The following is a 19,025-nucleotide window of genomic DNA, read 5'->3' as shown; positions in this document are numbered from 1 at the left end:
CTTTTTCCCCAAAATGTCCTTCTTGTTTTCTCCAGCTAGTAAAGATGTCCTCTTCTTTCAAGACCCTCTTGTGAAGGAAGTTTTGAGGGTTGCTTCATATTGAAGTAGCACTTTCTCTGTATGTCAACTGAGTGCTGTCTGAGTCTCTATCACAACATCCCACCCTATGCTGAGTTCAAATCAGTAGGAATGTTTGCATTTAAAGAATAATTTATGGATGGCAAAGCCTTTTCACAGTCATTCTCTCCATGGTGAGTTGGAGAAAGTGGAGATATGAAAGAGAGCTTGTGCTCAACATTACTTTGGTGTCTGTTCTATTCTGGTCATGTTTGATTCCTATGTACTGTTATCTACACCTTTAGCAACAAGGAAAGTGTGTCAAACGTTCTGCCACTTAGGAGGATAAGAGCCTTGGCAGAACACTTAGTGAGGATGGCCAGTCAACCCTGTTCTTGAAAGCAACTGCCTTGAATTAAAAACAGAAGGCTCCAAGGCAAATCTATATGGACCCTTAAAGCGAGGATTTTTTGCCAAGAACATCATTTGTAAAACACCGAATATATTTTTTAAACATAAATTTAAGCTGAGAACTGCTAGTCCTCTCTTCATCTTCCTTTTTTTAAAGCATGGAATTAGGACTGCCTGGTTAATCAGTGCCCAAAGTAAAGATAACCTAGGAGCAGTTGGCACTAGAGAATTCAGACACTAGCTACAAGATAAACCATCAGAGAGGAACAAGAGGGTGGACTTAGAAAGCATTTATTGGACTACCTAAGTAAGCACATAATCTTTGCATTTTAGAGCTGGAACAATCAAGCCTCTAATTATAGCTGAGGGATAGAGGCCTAGAGAAGTCGAGCAGCTGTCAGGACCCTCAGCGTTATGGCTGTGAATTCCTTACTCCCATCCAGGGTCTTTTCCCCATGTCATTAATGTACATGGAGTATCAAAACACCTTATGAGGGAAATAACTGAGGGCAGTCACTGAATTGCGAGGCTGAATCTTCATTTTGAGAAAATAAGGTCGATGATAATAGTAATAGAAGCCAAGAACTTTTTACTGGTTTATTTCATTTGATCCCCACAAAACCCCTATGAGATGGTGAATTCATTTCCTGTTGCTGCTGTAACAAATTACCACTAGCTTAGTTGCTTAAAACAACACAAATGTATTATTTTACAGTTCTGGAGGTCAGACGTCAGAAATGAGTTTCACAGAGCTGAAGTCAAAGGGTCTGCAGAACTAATTCCTCATGGAGGCTCTGAGAGAAGGATCCATTTCCTTGCCTTTTTCAGCTTCTAGTGGCCACACATCTCCTTGATTTTTTGGCTTCTCCCTCCATTTTAGAAAGTGCGTCACTCTAATCTATGCTTCCATCATCACATAATCTCCTTTGCCTCTGACCCCTCCTGCATCCTTTTTATAAGGAATTTTATGACCATACTGGGCCACCAGATAATCCAGCATAATCTTCTCATCAGAAAATCCTTAACTACATTTGCAAAGTCCCTTTGCAAGATAACATATTCACAGGTTCCAGGGATTAGGACTTGAACAGATTTGGGAGGTCATTATTTAACCCACTACAGATAGGTATTGTTATTATTCCCATTTTACAGCTGAAGAAACTGTGGCTTTGAGAGATTAAGTAAATTCCACAGAGTTAGGTAGTTATTGAGAAGCAGAGTCATTCATTCTTTATCTGTGGAACTGAGTTAGTAGAAATAAAAAATAAATGATATAACTGAATTCAAGATAAACATTATATCATTAGATATTTTTAGACCAAAAATATACTAAGCCTGCGGTCTGAATTATAAAATATAAACCATTATAGGAAAAATGGAAATTCTAAACATTCTTAAAGGGTAACATTCTCTCATAGCTCTAGGAAATTGTTGGACTGTAATAGGCCACCACCCAGAATCAGTCATCCAACTAGCTGTTGTGAGCTGATATTTTAATTTTCAAACCTTAAATCAGCCTCAGTACATTTCTATCCATTGGCAGTGGGGAGCCACTCTATATGCAGTATAAAGCTAAAATTTTAAAAAAATTTCACAGCATTTCTTTTTAATTTCTGAAGTTAGCTATCACAGTTCTCCTAATCTCTTCTCTCAGTTGAATATCTCAAATTCAAGTTCACTTAGCCATTCGTGTGAAGTGGATTTTCAACACCCCAGTGTCTACATTAACTTTCCCTGGAAGCTCTTTATTTTTTCAAATACTTCTCATAAAATATATTTCCAAGAATTGAACATGCTATTGCAGATATAGCTTTAGTGCTGAATATGGTGAGAGGTTCCCCTCTCTTAACTAGAAGGTGTATGTACCTCTGTAACCTTGCCCTACTGATATAGAATTAATGGAAAATTAGACAGACTAGCCCATTTCCAGAAAGAATCCAATTTTAAGCTGTATGTTGACTCATAACCCATTTGAAATACAGAGAAAGAAGCAAAATATTTCTTTACACCTTAGGTTGCCTGCCAGTTCCTACATAGCTTTGGTGGGGTTAAGGAGGCCTGCCTTCCTTGGTCTCTCTCTTTTTCTTTTCTTTCCTTAACTTGTTTTATGTATGAATAAATGTACATCTTATAACGTATATGTAGGCTATGAAGCTTGGTAATGGAATAAATCCCCCATGAAGCCAACACTCATTTTAGGAAGTAGAATATTACCAATAATGTTGATATTAAATATGTAGTATTCCTCCCTGATCCTATCTCCTGCCTCCCTATTATCAATTTTCTGTTTATCATTTGGATGAGTTTTAGCTGTACTACATATGTGCGTATATCTTCCTAAACAATATATTCTAAAATTTGGCTTGTCTGTGGGTTTTATAAAAATGGTAGCATGTCATATATATGTTCCTACAACTTGCTTTTCTCATTCATATTTGTATTTCTAAGATGTATTCATCCAGAATATAAAGCTAGAATTTTTCCATTTTCCACTGCTGTATAATACTCTGCTAGGCAATATATCACTTTGTTCTGTGTAGTCTGTGTAGACTTTTGGGTTATTTCCTCTTTGCAGAGTTTACTGCCAGTGATTTGCTATTACAAATAAAGCTACTGTGAATTTCCTTCCATGTGTCTTTGGTTCATGTTGAGTTAAGTTTTTCTAGCAGTAGAATTGCTGGATCAGAGGGTAAATATGTTCTTTATTAGGTAACTCAAATGTATTTTTCAAAATGGTTGAACTGGTCAACACTCCCTCCAAGAAGTGGTGCATTAGGCTTCTTTTTGCTCCACATCCTTGCTAACATTTGGTAATGTCAGGCTTTTAAATTTTGTCCATCTAAAATGTACCTTACTGTGATCTGAAAAAGCATGTTTTGATTTCTAATGAGGTTCGACATCTTTTCCTATCTGTCTTTACCATTGATGCTTCCTTTTTTTGGTTAAATACTGTTCATGTCTTCACCCACTTCTCTTTTGATTCATAGTAATTATAAATGTGTGTGTGTGTGTGTGTGTGTGTGTGTGTGTGTGTGTAGAGAGAGAGAGAGAGAGACTGATCCTTTGTCATTTTTAGGTGTTGCAAAGTTCTCCCAATTTTTGGCTTACTATTTCACTTTATGGAATTTTTTTAAATGAACATATGTTATTTTCATTGGCAGTCTTATAAACTTTATTTGACAGCCAGTGGTTAGATCTCACCCACACTGACTGTAGAATTTTAAGGTGATGACTGGTACGCAGGTAACCAGTGCATGAGTTTGTTTGGTGAATCTTCATTCTGACTGCATTTTCTGGACAACTGCACATGGTTACAGTATGGAACATTCTTTATTCCTTTGGCTCAGACAGTTTTGTTGAGCCTGGCATCAATGCACACATCTGGAGTACTTTCTCCTTTATGGCAAATTTCTTTGAGTGCTCAAGGGGCACACTTCTTAAAGCCCACTCCCTGGATGCCCTTGTAAATGTTGATGATGTATTCTTGGGTCACCACCTTGTTAAAGGCAAAATAGCTCTTCTTCTCACCATTATTGTTTGTGGGAGTCATTCTTCTAGGACTTAATTTTAATGTAGTCAAATTTGTCAATTTCTTCTTTTATGGTTAGTAATTTTTCAACTTTTCTTAAGAAATTCTCTTCTTTCTAGTCTATATTTTCTTTCTTTCTTTTAGTACTTAAATGTCTTTTTTAAAGATTTCACTGAAGTAAATATATACACATATAACTCACTATCTTTAGCATTTTAGGTATAGAGTTCAGTGGTAATAAATTTATATTCTTTAAAAATGTTGTCTTTACGTTTAAGCATATATTTCATCTGGAATGGATTCTTGTGTTATATGGCATGAGGTAGGGATCTGATTCCATTTTTCTCATATGAAAAACAATTGTGCTAGCATAACTTACTGAGCAGTCTATGAGTTCCCCTTTGATCTTCAATGCAAAGCCTCTCATAAATGAAGCTTTCACATATGAAGCTGCTTTTGGTCTATGTCATGGAACACTTTGTCTATTTCTATTTCCATACCTCATGCTTGATTTACTTTCTCTCTTTTGTTTTCTATTCTTTAGACTTCCTCTAAGGATCCTGGATATTTCATTTCATACTTTGCTTATGTCCCAGGTCAGCCAGTTCCTGAGGATCATCCTGATAAACTCCACAATGGGTCACTAACAGGGCCACTTCTTGCTCATGGTAATTTCTCCTTATAGCACTTGCTAGTACATGATATAGTCCTCATCATCACCAGGATGACAGTGAATAATGGGAGTGAAGAGGACAAACATGTTCTGTTACTCTTTCTCTAAGATCCTACTGACAATTTTTTTTTCAACTTTGCCACCATACCACTCTGTCAACTTAAATTTTTTATTTTAAACTGCTGTCATCCTGTCTCCCCAAACCCTGCATCCTGTAATTTCTAACTAAGTTTTGGATATTCAGTGCAGTACTTTATAGTTTCTTCTGTAAATTTCATCTGAGTCCGGGCACAGTGGCTCATGCCTGTAATCCCAGCACAGCACTTTGGAAGGCCGAGGCAGGAGGATCACTTTGAGGCCAGGAGTTTAAGATCAGCCTGGGCAACATAGTAAGGCCCTGTCTCTACAAAAATAATTACACAAATAAATTCCATCTGATTTGTTTTTGCCCATTTGTTCAGATTCATTTTGAAACATGATTATGTCAACTATCTACAACCATTCAATTGTGATGATAATTCTCTCGTCTTCACCCAAATCAATAAATTTTTTGACAGGACAGAGCTCAATGGGAGATTTCTACATACCATTTCCTCAAGTGACATTGATTAATTAATTAACTATTGTCCAATTCATTCATTCATTCTTTGTCATTCATGCCATATTCTACAGTCTTACCCTGAGGATATCTTGTAAGACTTTGTCAAATACCTTGCTGAAATAGGGATATGATGCAACCTTGCATATATGCATATAACTTACATATAATATATGTTATATTACATATATATATCAAGGTGAATATATTTAATATATTGATATATATGTATATGTAATATAACATATAGTATATATGTCAAATACCACATATCATATATCACATATTTATGTCTCCTCCCCAACTCTGTGCTACCTCTTCTTGAATACCTCATAATTTTCTTTTAATAGTACTCATAAACCATGTATTAAAATGTAACTTATAGAATTAGGGGTTTTATGGCTATTTTATGGGATATTGTTTTCCAAACCTACGTTTCTCCCCTCACTGCCCCAGCTCCTTCTTTTGATAATCAAGAAAAAATTTAATTTTCTTATATATCAAAACAATTATTTATTGCTTGTTTGTTTTTTCCCATTATTTCTGAAGATCCAATGCATCTGAGCCTAGAGACTTAAACATATATATGTGCTTACTTTTTTTTTTTTTTGGCTTACCTTCAATCTTCTTATTTTTTCAGTTTCCTACTAAAATGAACCATTTAAGGTATCTTTTTTGCAGTTTGGAGAGTATTCTTCTTGATGAAAATTACAAAAGAAACAAGGAGAGACATTGTTTCTCTTCCTCTTTGTCTAATGCTAACATTGCACCATCTGGCTCAAGCTGTGGGTCTAGCCTTTCCTGTTCTTCTTGCCTCGAACATAACCAAAAACGCATTTTGATAAGCTCAGCATTTTCTCTGCAGCTTTAGCTCATCTTTTGCTCCTGCTTTATTGATGTTATCCTGATATCTGATCATGATGCTGACAAACAAATTGGGCTAGGAAGAGTTTTAAAAACTTGCCACCACCTGGTGAAACTGAACCTTAAACAAACAGCAACACTGCTGGTAACACTGGCAAGTTCCACTGAGCGCTTATTCCCAAAAGGCAAATGGGGGCTAAGAGACAGGCTTGATCACTTGCAATGGAAATACATATGAGCTCTGTGCACAATGTTGCTATCATACAGCAAAGAACATTCTTTAGCCAATCTCTGTAGGATGGCTCTGAAATAGCATCTGTGCCTGAGAATAGCAACACTGTCCAATGTGTCAATGTTCAGTGCTTAGCTTAATGCCAGGCACATAGTAGGTACTCAATAATATTTTGTTTATTGACAGCAGGAGGACAATGCATGTTGTAGGAGAGGAAAAAGATTAATTCCTTCCAGTCACATGAAGACTGAAGCTTAGTATATGGATTTAATTTTTCATATTATCTTTGGACTGATTTGATATATTTTACTTTAAAGACTTACCACTTTGATCCACAGGGAACCATTAGTGGTGAAAACATGGAATATGCTTCTTGGAAAATGCATTGCTTCAACAGATTAAAGGCACATAAGCTGGAGCAAGTATGCAAACCTTCCTAGTTTGAACTAAAAAGAAAAGAAACAAAGGAAGGAATTAATGGAAATTTTCAAATCTAAGTCTCTTCTGATATTTCAAGGAAAACCTCAGGAAGTGAATCAAGAAAGAATAAGACTAACCAAATCTTCTTGGTTAAAGATACTGTGATACTATGATTCAAGTTCAAACATCCAAGAAAGGAATCTACTATTTTCTTTTTAACATTAGTTATTAAAACTGTCTTAATACTCTCTATTAGCTTACAGGAAAGTTAAAATATGAGTCAATATATGATGTACTACAGGGTTTTACAGAAATAAAGTTATTTAACAACTATCTCAATATTGTGTGTAATAATCTCTAAATTTGCTCAAGTAGTTTTGGAAATAGTCATGGCATAAATGATAGGTTAATTTATCAATTTTCTGCTTATTTGTATGGATTCTATATCTCACTATTCATATTTGCTAAGCATCCATTCAAATTAAGACCCTTTTTTGGTTATAAAAAGCACACAATCATATGAGCTACGTTAACTGGTTACTAGCTGGAAGGGAGAGGTTTACCTCAGTCACAGATCCAACTTCAGTGCAGGGTTTGCTATTTTTAATCACAGAACTTAGAAGCTTAATTCAGTTAAAAAGAGAGGAAGTTGTCAAGGGAGGGTTGCTAAAAGTTCATGCTAAATTTGCTTAGAACCAGATTGTGTTCATTAATATTTATACATCTATGGTTGGGAAGGGGTGATTGTGCTTCTTTAAAAACACTGGGTATTCATTTTCCATGTATGGCACAGCCTTCTGATTAGGGAAGGTGGGTTTTCATTGTACAATCAATGGAGATACAGATGGAAACCATCTGGCGCCTCATCCCCTTTTTGTCAAAAACCTTGTCTTGTCTCTCACATGTCAATGATGAATGGAAGGATTTCAAACTCTAGCTGAACAATGCAGTTTGAATCCCTCAGCTAGCCAAGGGGTTTTTGGCAAGCATCGATGAGCTTAATATTTTAAAGAAACCAGCAATCATTTTAATTCATTAGTTGAAGCCTGTTGTTCTAGACAGTGTTTTTGATTTGTATTTTGGGCACTGGCTTTGTTTTTGATTCACAAGCGTATTCCATATGGGTATATTTTCTTTTATACAGTGTAAATCATGGGGATAAAAGTGGGAGTTTCATCTGATAAAATGACCAAAATGCTGAGAGATTCTTTTAATTATCTTTTGCATTAATTATGATTCATATTAAGTGTTAAGACCAAAAATTTTCTTGTGAGCTAGTACAGAGCATGAATCAGAGAACACAGAATTTAGTTAACCCAGCTATAGACAATTAATCTAAAAATCAATTCAGTGTTCTGCTTTGTGAGAGGAAACGACATAAACCTGTCTTAGAGCATCTCGGGTACACTATTTTTATGGCTTGTCTGCTGAAGGTGGGTTTCTAGGATGGAAGCAAAAAAATCGATTCACATGGCTAGCTTTGCAGTCATTATTCAGCTAACAAAAGCCAGATTGGTTTTCCTGCCCTTCACATTTAATAAAATGAGGTGAATCACCAAAAAAGCAAGTTGATGCTGGAGCCTTATTCAGAAACTCATTTCCAGAGTATGTCCTGGGTTTGGTAGAGATTCAACCCAATTTTATATAACTACCAATATTGTGGTGGCCCCTATAGCAGTTATAGTCCCTACCAGTGACATTTGTGAGGGACTGTGGTTAAGAAAGGACATAACATAAAGTTATTTTATTTAATTATAATGATTACTGTGCTTATTACCTGCCAGCTACTCTTCTAAATGCCAGATAGATTATCGATAGGTAGCTATATGGATGACAGGTGAACAGGTATCATGGATAGATAGACACATAGATAGATAGGTAGGTAAATAGGTTTTACTTATTTAATCCTTACAACCACCCTGATAGGTAAGTTATATTATTTTCATCATTATACAGGTAAAGAAAGTAAGGACCAGAGGGATTAAGAACTTTGCCAAGACAATAGCTATTAAATGGTAGAGTGGGAATTCAAATCCAGAAAGGCTCTGAAATCTGTGTGCTTAACTCTTACACTTATCGTTTCTCATAGTCATCATATGAGGTAGAGGTTATTTTTGTTATTTCTGTTTGAAAGATGAGGAAACCAAAGCACTGAGAGGTTAAATTACTTGCCCCAGTCTAGGTTGTCCAACTGGTAGCCTGTAGAGCCAGGACTTGGGCTTTCTGTGTCTCATTCTCTTTGCACAATGGAAAATTTAGAATAATCCCCCATAGGCACCACAAGATCTCTAATAATCAGAGAAGGACTAAATTTTGTTCAGCATAGCTCAGGCCTAGGAAAGGAAAATGGATACTGATTGTTGCCAGATTTGCAATAGTGTAATCCAACCAAATTATTTATAGTTCTTATTAATAATAAATTGAAATTAACTCATTCTGATATTACTCAATTGAGTATTTATGATATTTTTCTTACCTCCAATTGTTGGTAAAAGTAATCCTTAATATATAAGGAGCATTTACAATTCAATAGGAAAAAAAGGTGCGTACTCACATTTTTTTAAAAATGGACAAATAATGAGAATAAAGAAATACAAATAGGCATTAAACAAAAACACAATGGCAAAAAGATTTAACTTCATTAAAGAAAAACCCTATGAAGTCATCCTTGTATTAAATTGACAAAGATTAAACAAACTAGTAATATATAGCAAGAACTGTGGTACAAAAGAATTGGCATTCTCATCCCTTGCTAAGGGTGCAGTTTTTTTTAAGGACAATTTGTCAACGTGCATCACTAGCCACTGTATGCTTTGATCCAGCAATACCACATCTTGAAAACTGATCCCAAGAATGGCATCATGGATGTAAACAATTTTAAAATAATTAATAGGAACATTATTTATAAAATCAAAAATTATAATCAACTGATAAAGGATGGATTAAATAAATTATGGCATATTTATATAATGGAATATAAGTCTACACCAAAAATATGATATGTTGATATGTACAAATATTATATTAAATAGTAGCATGTAAAAGATGCAGTGTGTGAAATAGAAGATTAAGAAGTTTATTTAACAGTATGCAAAATTTGATCTTTTCTTGTAAAAACCAAATTTATATCAAATGTTAATAACATTGCAAAGTAGGAGTTTTTTATTCTTTCTGCTTTTCTAATTAAAACACAATAAAAGTGAATTAAAGAATCAGAAATAAAACAATGCATTTACTTTTTTGAAGTTTTGCTACTAGGCTTTTACAATTTTTTAAAAAACAAGATACCTTGACAAGGAGAGAGAGAAGAATTCTAGGCTGTGAAAATTTATGTAGATATTGAGGAACAGTGAAGGTACATGGAGTCAGCCCTTATAATTCTTATCATGTAGCACAGTACTTCTCAAACTGTAGCCTGTGGCAGGATCACCTGGAGGCTGGGCCCCACCCCCTACCCTAGACTTTCTGATTCAGTAGGTCTGGGTGGAACCAAAGAATTTTCATTTCCAGTAAGTTCTCCAGATATTGCCAATGCTGCTTACTAAGGAACCCCACTTTGAGAACCACTGCCATAGAAACTTACCATGGCTTTGCCATTTGCCTCGGTTATAAAACTATTGATGCTTGGAATTCAATCCTAGGGATTATTTCAAAGCCCACACTCTTTCAACAATGTTTTCGGTCTTAGCTAGGTATTAGAATCCTATGGAGTATTTTTTTAAAATCCTGTTGCCTGATGTCCGCCCCAGAACAATTAACTGAAACCTCTGGAAGGTGGGCGGAGGGTGGGTAGACGGGCGGGAATGAAAGGATTCCAAATGCTTCTAGCAGCCAATCATGGTTGAAAACTTTTGTCCACCAAAACCCTTTCAAGCTACTATTCTAATATTTATTTCAGAAATTAAAAAGCTGTACTAATTTCAGAAATTAAAAAACTGAAGTCCTCTTCTTAAGTTAACTGAACTATAAATGCTTTGATGATTCTCAGTAACCAAGCAGATAGTTTAGTAAAATGATTCTCCATTGACATGCTTAATATGTCCCTGGAAAGCACGTTTATAAAAATTTCTCTATTTAAATATCTTGTCTTCTGCTGGGTTGGAACAGAGAATTTTCCTCTGAGAACCTTTTGTGGTGAAATAAGTAAAGGTTTTCAGTAGATCATATATACCTTGGTATTCATTTTTTCTTTTAGAAAGAAACCAAATTCAATAAATAGATGGCCATAAAAAGTACTGATTAACATAATTACCCATAATCATGTTACACCAGATATAGTACACAGACAATTGTATAGTACTATTGCTGTCCTTGGAATTGCTCAGGACTAACCTGATATTCATGTCTGCTTCACATATAAGGCATTAGTCTGACACATAAATGAACAGTGGCGCTCAACATCACATGTATGTCAAGAATGAGTGTTGAAGGGCATTGAATAAGTTGCCACCTTCTGAACAAGTTGTGTTTCAAATTTGCATTGTAGATTAATTCTTGGGAATGCAGAGTTTACTTGTCTATGGAAATAATAGTTGTGCTTTCCACTTTAAAAAAAAAAAATCTCAGTGCTGGGAGACTGGGAGCCAGGAGAAACTGACAGCAGAGTAGGGTTTTCTCACCAATTCTCCCTTTCTTTACCTCAGAAGTGTTCTCTCATCCTTCCCCATCTACTTCAGTTATCTATTGTTATATAACAAACCATCCCAAAACTTAGTGGCTTCAGATAATGATGATTTATTACTTCTTACAATTCTATGGGTCAGGACTTCAGGTAGGATTGGCCAGGCAGGTTTTGCTTCATTGGTCATTGATTGGGGGTCACCGACTCAGGCTTATTCTGCTGGTGGCTGGGCTGTGATAGAAGCCCCAAGAAGGACTTACTTAGTTATATGGTGAGCTGGTGCTTCTCATGTGGCCCACTGCGTAGCTAGTTTTGGCTTTCTCACAGCTTGGTGGTTTTAGGTTAGTCAGCCCTTTACACAGAAGCTGGCTTCAAAAAGGAAACTTCCAGTCCTCTCTCAAGCCTGGGGATAAGAAGTCCCAAGATCCAGAACATCACTTCCTCCACATTCTGTTGGTCAAAGTTACATGGCTACCCTAGATTTAAAAGGGAGGAGAAATAGACCCCTCTTTTCAAGAGGGGGTGGCATGTGCATATAGGGAAGGAAAAAATTGATGGTGGCCATCTTTGGAGATTATTTTCTATGTCACCCCTTCATTGTTGGATTCTGGAGGAGGTTGATGTAAGGCCTGAACTTTCCAGAGTAGAACCACCAATATGGTCATGTCCCCACAAGTAAGTTCAGCAGAGGCCAGGGAGGTGAAGAATCTTCAGCAGCAGCTGAAAAAAGTGAATGCACATTCGCCACGCACATCTGTCTTTTAGCTCCCATTTTGCCAGAAATGGAAATCTAAGCTTTCATCTGAGGAGGAAATTGAGGAGAGTGGCTGTATCAGGATTAGACTTAGCTGGGAATATCAGAAATCCAAAATAAAGGGAAGTAAAAGGGAGTTTATTTTCCTCATGTAAAGTTCAGAGGCAGGCAGTGCAGGGCTGACATGGCTTTTTCCACTCACCTCCACCTCCAAAACAGGGTTGGAAAATGACAACTCTCCCATAATTATTGCACCAATGAAATACATGTCCCAAGTCCAGATGACCACAATTCCTTCTTAGTGGGTCTTTTACTCTGGGAGATTATCCATCCAGGATACTAAGTTTCTCAAATGACCACTTTTAATGGAAACTGTGATAACATAGCACAGGCTTTGTGAACAATTAGATAGAATCTCAAACTTTAACATTTTTCCCAAGCTCCTCAAGCCTATTTAAATGTAAAATGAGTTATTTACTACTTTGTCCAATTTCCCTTTGTTTTTGAAAACTACATGAAATTATTTGTATAGTCATTGTTGGTTGAAGTAGTAAAGCAATTATGCACAGGAATAGATGAGACAGACACATAAATGCTACTTTAACCACATTCTTGTTGATGGGGAAAAAGGAACACTAGACTAGGAATCAGATTAGCATGCGCCTTGGAGCAAATCACTAAATGTCTTGGAAACTTCATCTCTTCACCTGTAAAATGGAGATGATAACGTAATCTGCAGACAGGGTGCTTTAGAGGAAGGGATCATTAAATGAGATGATGATGCAAATATATTAGAAAACAAATTGCCACTACAAGCTACAGATATTTTACTTCCATTAATTTCATTAATAGCATCATCATCATTTTATGTTGTAATAAAGGCAATTCACTATGCTTAGTTCTGAAGTGTCCATGCATTAAAATAATCAATGATGGAGATTCTGTCCATTTTGCATGCTTTTCTCTCTGGGCATGGGTGCCTTGGCAGGGTCCTGGGTGGCACGTCCTGTGGAAACTGTCATACATACAACCTATTGGATTAGTAAAGCCTGAAGACTTGGGAGATGTATAAGGGAAAGAAAGACAAGAAAGACACTATAATGACAGCCAACACATAAGTCCTCAGTGCTAGGGCCCTGGGTTAGTACTTTTTCCTGCTTTAATCTCTTTTCACCTACACCAGAGCCCTATGAAGAAAGTGTTATTATTAGACTCCTACAAGCCTTAAAGAGGTTTTTTTTTTTTAATGTGACTTTTATTTTAGGTTCAGGGGTACATGTGCAGGTTTATTACATAGGTAAACTTCTGCCACGGGGGTTTGTTGTAAAGATTATTTCATCACCCAGGTAGTAAGCCTAGTACCCATTAGTTATTTTTCCTGATCCTCTCCATCCTCCCACCCTACACCCTCCAATAGGCCCACTGTCTATTGTTCCCCTCTATGTGTCCACATGCTCTCATCATTTAGCTCCCACTTATAAGTCAGACATCAAGTATTTGATTTTCCATTCCTGCCTTAGTTTGCTAAGGATAATAGCCTCCAGCTCCATCCATCTTCCTGCAAAAGATATGACCTCATTCTTTTTTATGGCTGCATAGTATTCCATGGTGTATATGTACCACGTTTTCTTTTTCCAGTCTATGATTGATGGGCATTTAGGTTGATTTCATGTCTTTGCTATTGTGAATAGTGCTGCAATGAACATACATGTGCATGTGTCTTTATGACAGAATGATTTATATTCCTTCTGGTATATACCTAGTGATAGAATTGCTGAGTTGAGTGGTATTTCTGTTTTTAGGTCTTTGGGAAATCACCACAATTTCTTCCACAATGGTTGTAGTAATTTACATTCCCACCGACAGTGCATGTGTTCCTTTTACTCTGCAACCTTGCCAGCATCAGTTATTTTTTGACTTTTTAATAATAGCCATTCTGACAGGTGTGAGATGGTGTCTCATTGTGGTTTCGTTTTGAATTTCTCTAATGATCAGTGATGTTGAGCTTTTTTTCATATGCTTGTTGGCCATATGTATGTCTCCTTTTGAAAAATGTCTGTTCATGTCCTTTGCTCACTTTTTAAAGAGGTTTCTGAGGTGTGGAAGTTTCATAGAAAGTAGAATAGCTGAGGTTGAATCTAACACACTTCTCACCCTGTGCTGCTACTTCAAGTGCTCACCATGAACTTCAGCACTGACTAAACAAAGCCACAGAGAAGATTAGAGAGCATTCATTCCAGAGATAATCCCACCGCCAGGGCTGGACTACGTGGACATGTGTCCTGGGTAGTTCTTCAAAAGGGCCCCATGCTGAGTTGACTGCTCTGCTGGTTCCATCTTGAAGTCCTTAATTGCTTCTGAGCAAATGGCCCCATATTTTTGTTTTTCACTGGACCTCACAAATATTGCTGGTCCTGGGAGACACTGAGGTAACATGTGTAAGAGAAAAAGAAAGAAGGAGCTAACATTTGCTAAGCACTATGACATGCCAGGCATAAATTTATGTCATTTTTATACCCATTAACTAATTTCACTTCTAGGAAAACTCTGCAAGATAAATAAGTTCATCGCTTTATAGATAAACAGGTTCTCAGAGAGGCCAAGTAACTTGCATCGGTTACACAGCTGGGAAGAGGTGGAGCCTCGATTCAGGGCCTTCAGTGCTCTTATTCTTTTAACCCCTCCAGACTGTGCCATGGTTGAGATAATAAATACCTACTCTTCCTGGGGGTATTATAATGAGGCAATTTTCTACCTCTGCAGAAATACATTAAATATTATTAAAGGCATATAGTTTACAATAATGTAGAGTTGCTGTCTGCAAAACTTATTTCTGGTTGAGACAGACCTAATGAAAGATTCTCAAAGATAGAAGATGTGATATATAAATATGACCAAGTTATTTCAGAATTACTGGACAAAGGACTATGCAATGTTATTTTTATAAGCTAATTGCAGATTGCATCAAGGTTCTTAAATCTCTGCAGAGCAATGAACTCGGAGTCCAGAGAACTGAATTCTATTTTTAACTTTAGATAACCTTGGCTAAGTCATTTGGCTTCTCTGAGTCTCAAATAGGAATCAAAAGGGGAAGATCCAAAGCCATAGTAAAAAGGTTTTTATCATAAATGAACCCTAAATAGAATTTTTTAATGCCCAGGGCAGGAAGCCTAGATTGGCTTTCCATCTGGAGAGAGGTCCTTAAGTAAGAGGAAGGATAGGAATGAGAATAGAGGAGGGATCTTTTATCTCAATACCCTGAAAGTTCTTTGCTTGGCCAATTTTCTCACCTGTCCATGGGCCTTTAGCTGTCTGCCTCCAGTAGCTAGGGTCGCTGACCTGGGATAGCATTGAGCCTGCCACCAAGCTGCAGAGATAGTACAGGGTACTCAGTGAGAAGGGAGGAAAGGAGAAAGCTCTAAATTTTGCCAATATTCCCAATATTTCTCAATTTCTTTTGCTTTCTTTTTATCTCGATGCCCTATGGGCAAAGACCCAGTGGCCATGTCCTAGCTATTGCTCTAAGATTGATTAGGAGTGGTTTCACAGTCATGGGTCTATGCTGAGCTGACAAGAATGCCCATGATTTATTAGTGATGTCTGTCATGGGCACTGCAGGTATGGGGGGTGATAGATGTGCCTCATATCTCGTCTATTAGATATTCACCATTCCTAGATTAAGGTAGTCTTTCCAGAAATATTTGTGGGATGACTGAACAGCCATTACTGTAAGTGTTAAATTTGTTGTACCTATGAGGAAAAAAATGTAGTCCCAAAAGTTAGCTAAGAAGTTTCCAGCTAATTGAGGGCATTGCCCTATGTACATGAAAAACATTTATATTTCTGTTGATTTCTTAGCATGTGGATCACAGAATATTTGTATTAGAATTACATAATAAGCTCTGTTAAACTACAGATTCCTGGGCCTCACCCTACTTATTTACAACATCTTTGGAGGGTAAGGCCTAGGAATCTGCATTTTCACAAATGTCCTTAGTGATTGGGGATGAAGGTGTGCATGTGAAGTGGGAGAACCATTGCTTTATAAGACTGGGTAAGAAAAATTATATTTTTTAAATCGGCAATATTTTCATTTACCATATCATAATCTAAACTAGGAATGAGCACCAGTTTTCAAATGGTGTTGGAATTCAGTAGGGGTTTGTAAAATACAAATAGTTTGATTAAATAAATTCTTCAGTGTTAAGTGGGGGTGGAGGTCTACATAAACAAAACTTGGGACCTAGATAAACCAAGCTTAAGGACAAAAAAAAAAAGTCTTTTAAAAGTCTTATGGTCATAGCTTATTCAACCAAGTAACACTAGGCAAGGTTACAGAAATACAGGTTTTTTTTTTTTTAATCCCTATACCCTTGACATGTGAATGTGCACATGAATGTGCAAACCATGAAAGGGGAACAGGGTTGCAGACTGCTATAACAAGAGCTGAAAGGTTGAAAGGTAGAATCGACTTTAAGCAAGGGTCATCTTCTGGGAGATAATTAAACAACACTAAGTTGATATGGGAGGAGGAGGGAAGGAAAAAAGATTATGAGAAGTATTTAGAAGGCCTTAGAAGAGGTACTCCAACTCAAACAAATAGTCACATGAGAGAAGGACAGTATTGTTGAAAGCACATAGGCTTTTGGCCTGGCAACCTGGGTTTGAATGTGACTCTGCCACTTGACTAGTCCTCTGACTGATTACAGGTAATGACTGAATTACTTAATTCCTCTAAATCCCCGTTTCCTCATTTGTGAATCTGGATAAGGATAGAACTTACTCAACCAGTGGCACAAGTGGTGATGAGAATTAAGAAGGAAAACAAATATAAAGTGCTGGCATGCGACAAGCTCTCAATGACATTTGTGGGAGAGAAGTCAAAGCTAGAATGACTTTCTCTTTTGAAGTATAGCTAATCAATATAGTTATTCCAATGTGGAATCATTTTCTTATGAGAGCGTGTGCGAAGTTCACCAAGGCTCAGTTGCTTATACCTGAGGAATGCCTTATTAACCCTAGACTTACTAATACGCTAACATTATATCAGTGATGATGAGATATCATTAGAGAAGGCACATTCCAAGGTCATCATACATCAATCGTCCTAAAAGGTCCTTGATAAAGAAATAACTAAATCCCTAGTGACATATCTTGCAAACACAGTAGTTGGAAACTGTTTCCTAAGTTTCTTATCTTCAATGATATTTTAAAATTAAGAAGTCAAAGACTTAAGTACTGTTTGTGGGAGTTCTGGAATTAGAAGCCCAGACAGGAACAGTGTATTGTGGCACTGACAGCCTGGCCTTTCTTATTTATTTTACATTATTAGCGTGTTCTCTCAAGCCTACTTGCATAAATACACAATTATATGTATTTAATGAATTCACTCTTAAACAGCTGTAGAAAATGTGCTTTACTAATAGGGGGGCATCCAGTCAGATAAAGCAGTCATAACGCGTTGCGCGTGTGTGTGTGTGTGTGTGTGTGTGTGTGTGTGTGTGTGTGTGTTGGTTTAAAATTTCATGAGTCAATGGAGGATAAATATGCATAAATGAAATATATATTTAAAAGCTGCCTTTTGAGCCTGTAAAAGCTACTTTTCTTTCTGACACAAAAGAAATATCTGCTTTCTTATATAAAGAGAATTATTGGACAAATTGAGTCCATGTTCACAAACATTAACGTCTAAAGCAAAGCAGTTAGAAATAAACTCTATCTAGTCTATTGAGTCTCAAAATTCAGCCCATTATCCAACTGGGGAGCTTTTTACAGTGCAGATTCCTGGGCTCACCTTAGGAGATTGATTCTGTGAGTCTGGAGCAGGGCCTAGAAATCTGCATTTTTAGCAGCCCAAAGTGACTCTGATCCAAGTGCTCTAAGTATCAGAATTTCAGAAACTGCATTTTATCCCTTCTAGCCTGAAAGGTTCATTCAGGGATAGAACGAGGTTAATAGGTTGCTCGATTAATACAGAATTGGAGCAGAGGAATAGACTGTTCTGAAGGGAGAATCCTATATGAAACCAAAAGCAGCACCTATTAAACAACTGGATTAGTCTTTTATAAATAGAGCGCTTTATGCATTGGACAGACTCCAAGGAAAGCAAACAGATTCTTGCCCTTGTTCCTCCTTTTTAATCCCCTTTACTGTTCATTAGTACTTCATCCTACAAGTACAGTTCCTGAAAAGCAGCTCCCAGTGAAGTTTAGGAGTCACTTGGAGCCCTTGAAGATATCTTCATCCCATCAGCGAGCCATTTACACATATTGCCCTGGAGAACGCTTCTACTGGCTACTGTATTCTATTCTGTGTGCCTTCCTGATAGCGGATACTGGCTACTCTGGATTCAAGTATCTCTTCTTCTAAACTTGTATCCCTGTGTCTTTTGTTGTATCTACTCCTTACAGGTCCTTGACTCCATATGAAAGCACTTAGGGGAAAAAAAATTAAAAGTACGTTTATATAAGGCAGTATTATTAACATACTTTTTATTTGCCTCAAGGTCATTGACGTGAAATTTCACAATTGCACTCTTGAATATACAACATAATTATATTATGTAACAACTCTTCTGAAATAGTTTGGATTTCAAATTTCCATTCCATGAGCACCATGAATACATATTCATACTTGTTGGATCATGAGTCTAGATTAGTGGTTCAGAAACTAAAGTCATTAAGCATTAACTGGGTCCGTCATACAAAATCCAATAGAGTTCACTTATTAAGTATCAACTGAGTCTGTCTGGATCTGTATCAACTCAGTAAGTTCACTAAGTTAGGATACTAGCCATTCAGTATTTCCATAGCAAAAAGGCACAAGATACTTGAATAATGTTTGAACTCTATAATTCTACTACCATT

The 19,025-nt window shown here is 36.8% G+C and overlaps 1 protein-coding gene and 1 pseudogene across 53 annotated transcripts in view, besides 1 other annotated feature; one reads left to right on the top strand and one right to left on the bottom strand.

Annotated features, from left to right (window-relative positions):
* Positions 1–19,025, top strand: part of THRB (thyroid hormone receptor beta) — a 378,556-nt gene that overhangs the window by 60,943 nt on the left and 298,588 nt on the right. Inside the window, exon 1 of one of the 53 annotated variants that reach the window (XM_024453737.2) lies at positions 5,502–19,025. This exon is cut by the window's right edge and continues 22,738 nt beyond it. The exons of the other annotated variants lie outside the window; for them this stretch is intronic. The gene's annotated coding sequence lies outside the window, so the exon portion shown is untranslated. Of the gene's footprint in view, positions 1–5,501 lie in introns of those variants that run through there. 53 annotated transcript variants of the gene reach the window in all.
* On the bottom strand, positions 3,658–4,000 carry RPL31P20 (ribosomal protein L31 pseudogene 20; annotated as a pseudogene).
* Positions 14,274–14,568: a silencer, noted in NCBI's record as "tiled region #12793; K562 Repressive DNase matched - State 8:EnhW". NCBI's record gives its function as "represses a minimal TATA promoter and a strong SV40 promoter by Sharpr-MPRA in K562 cells {active_cell/tissue: K562}" and the evidence as "EXISTENCE:reporter gene assay evidence [ECO:0000049][PMID:27701403]".

This window comes from Homo sapiens, chromosome 3 (genome assembly GCF_000001405.40).
Source record: "Homo sapiens chromosome 3, GRCh38.p14 Primary Assembly".
Lineage (NCBI taxonomy): Eukaryota > Metazoa > Chordata > Mammalia > Primates > Hominidae > Homo > Homo sapiens.
The sequence above is the reverse complement of the archived record's forward strand: the minus strand, read 5'-3'. Positions and strand labels throughout refer to the sequence as shown.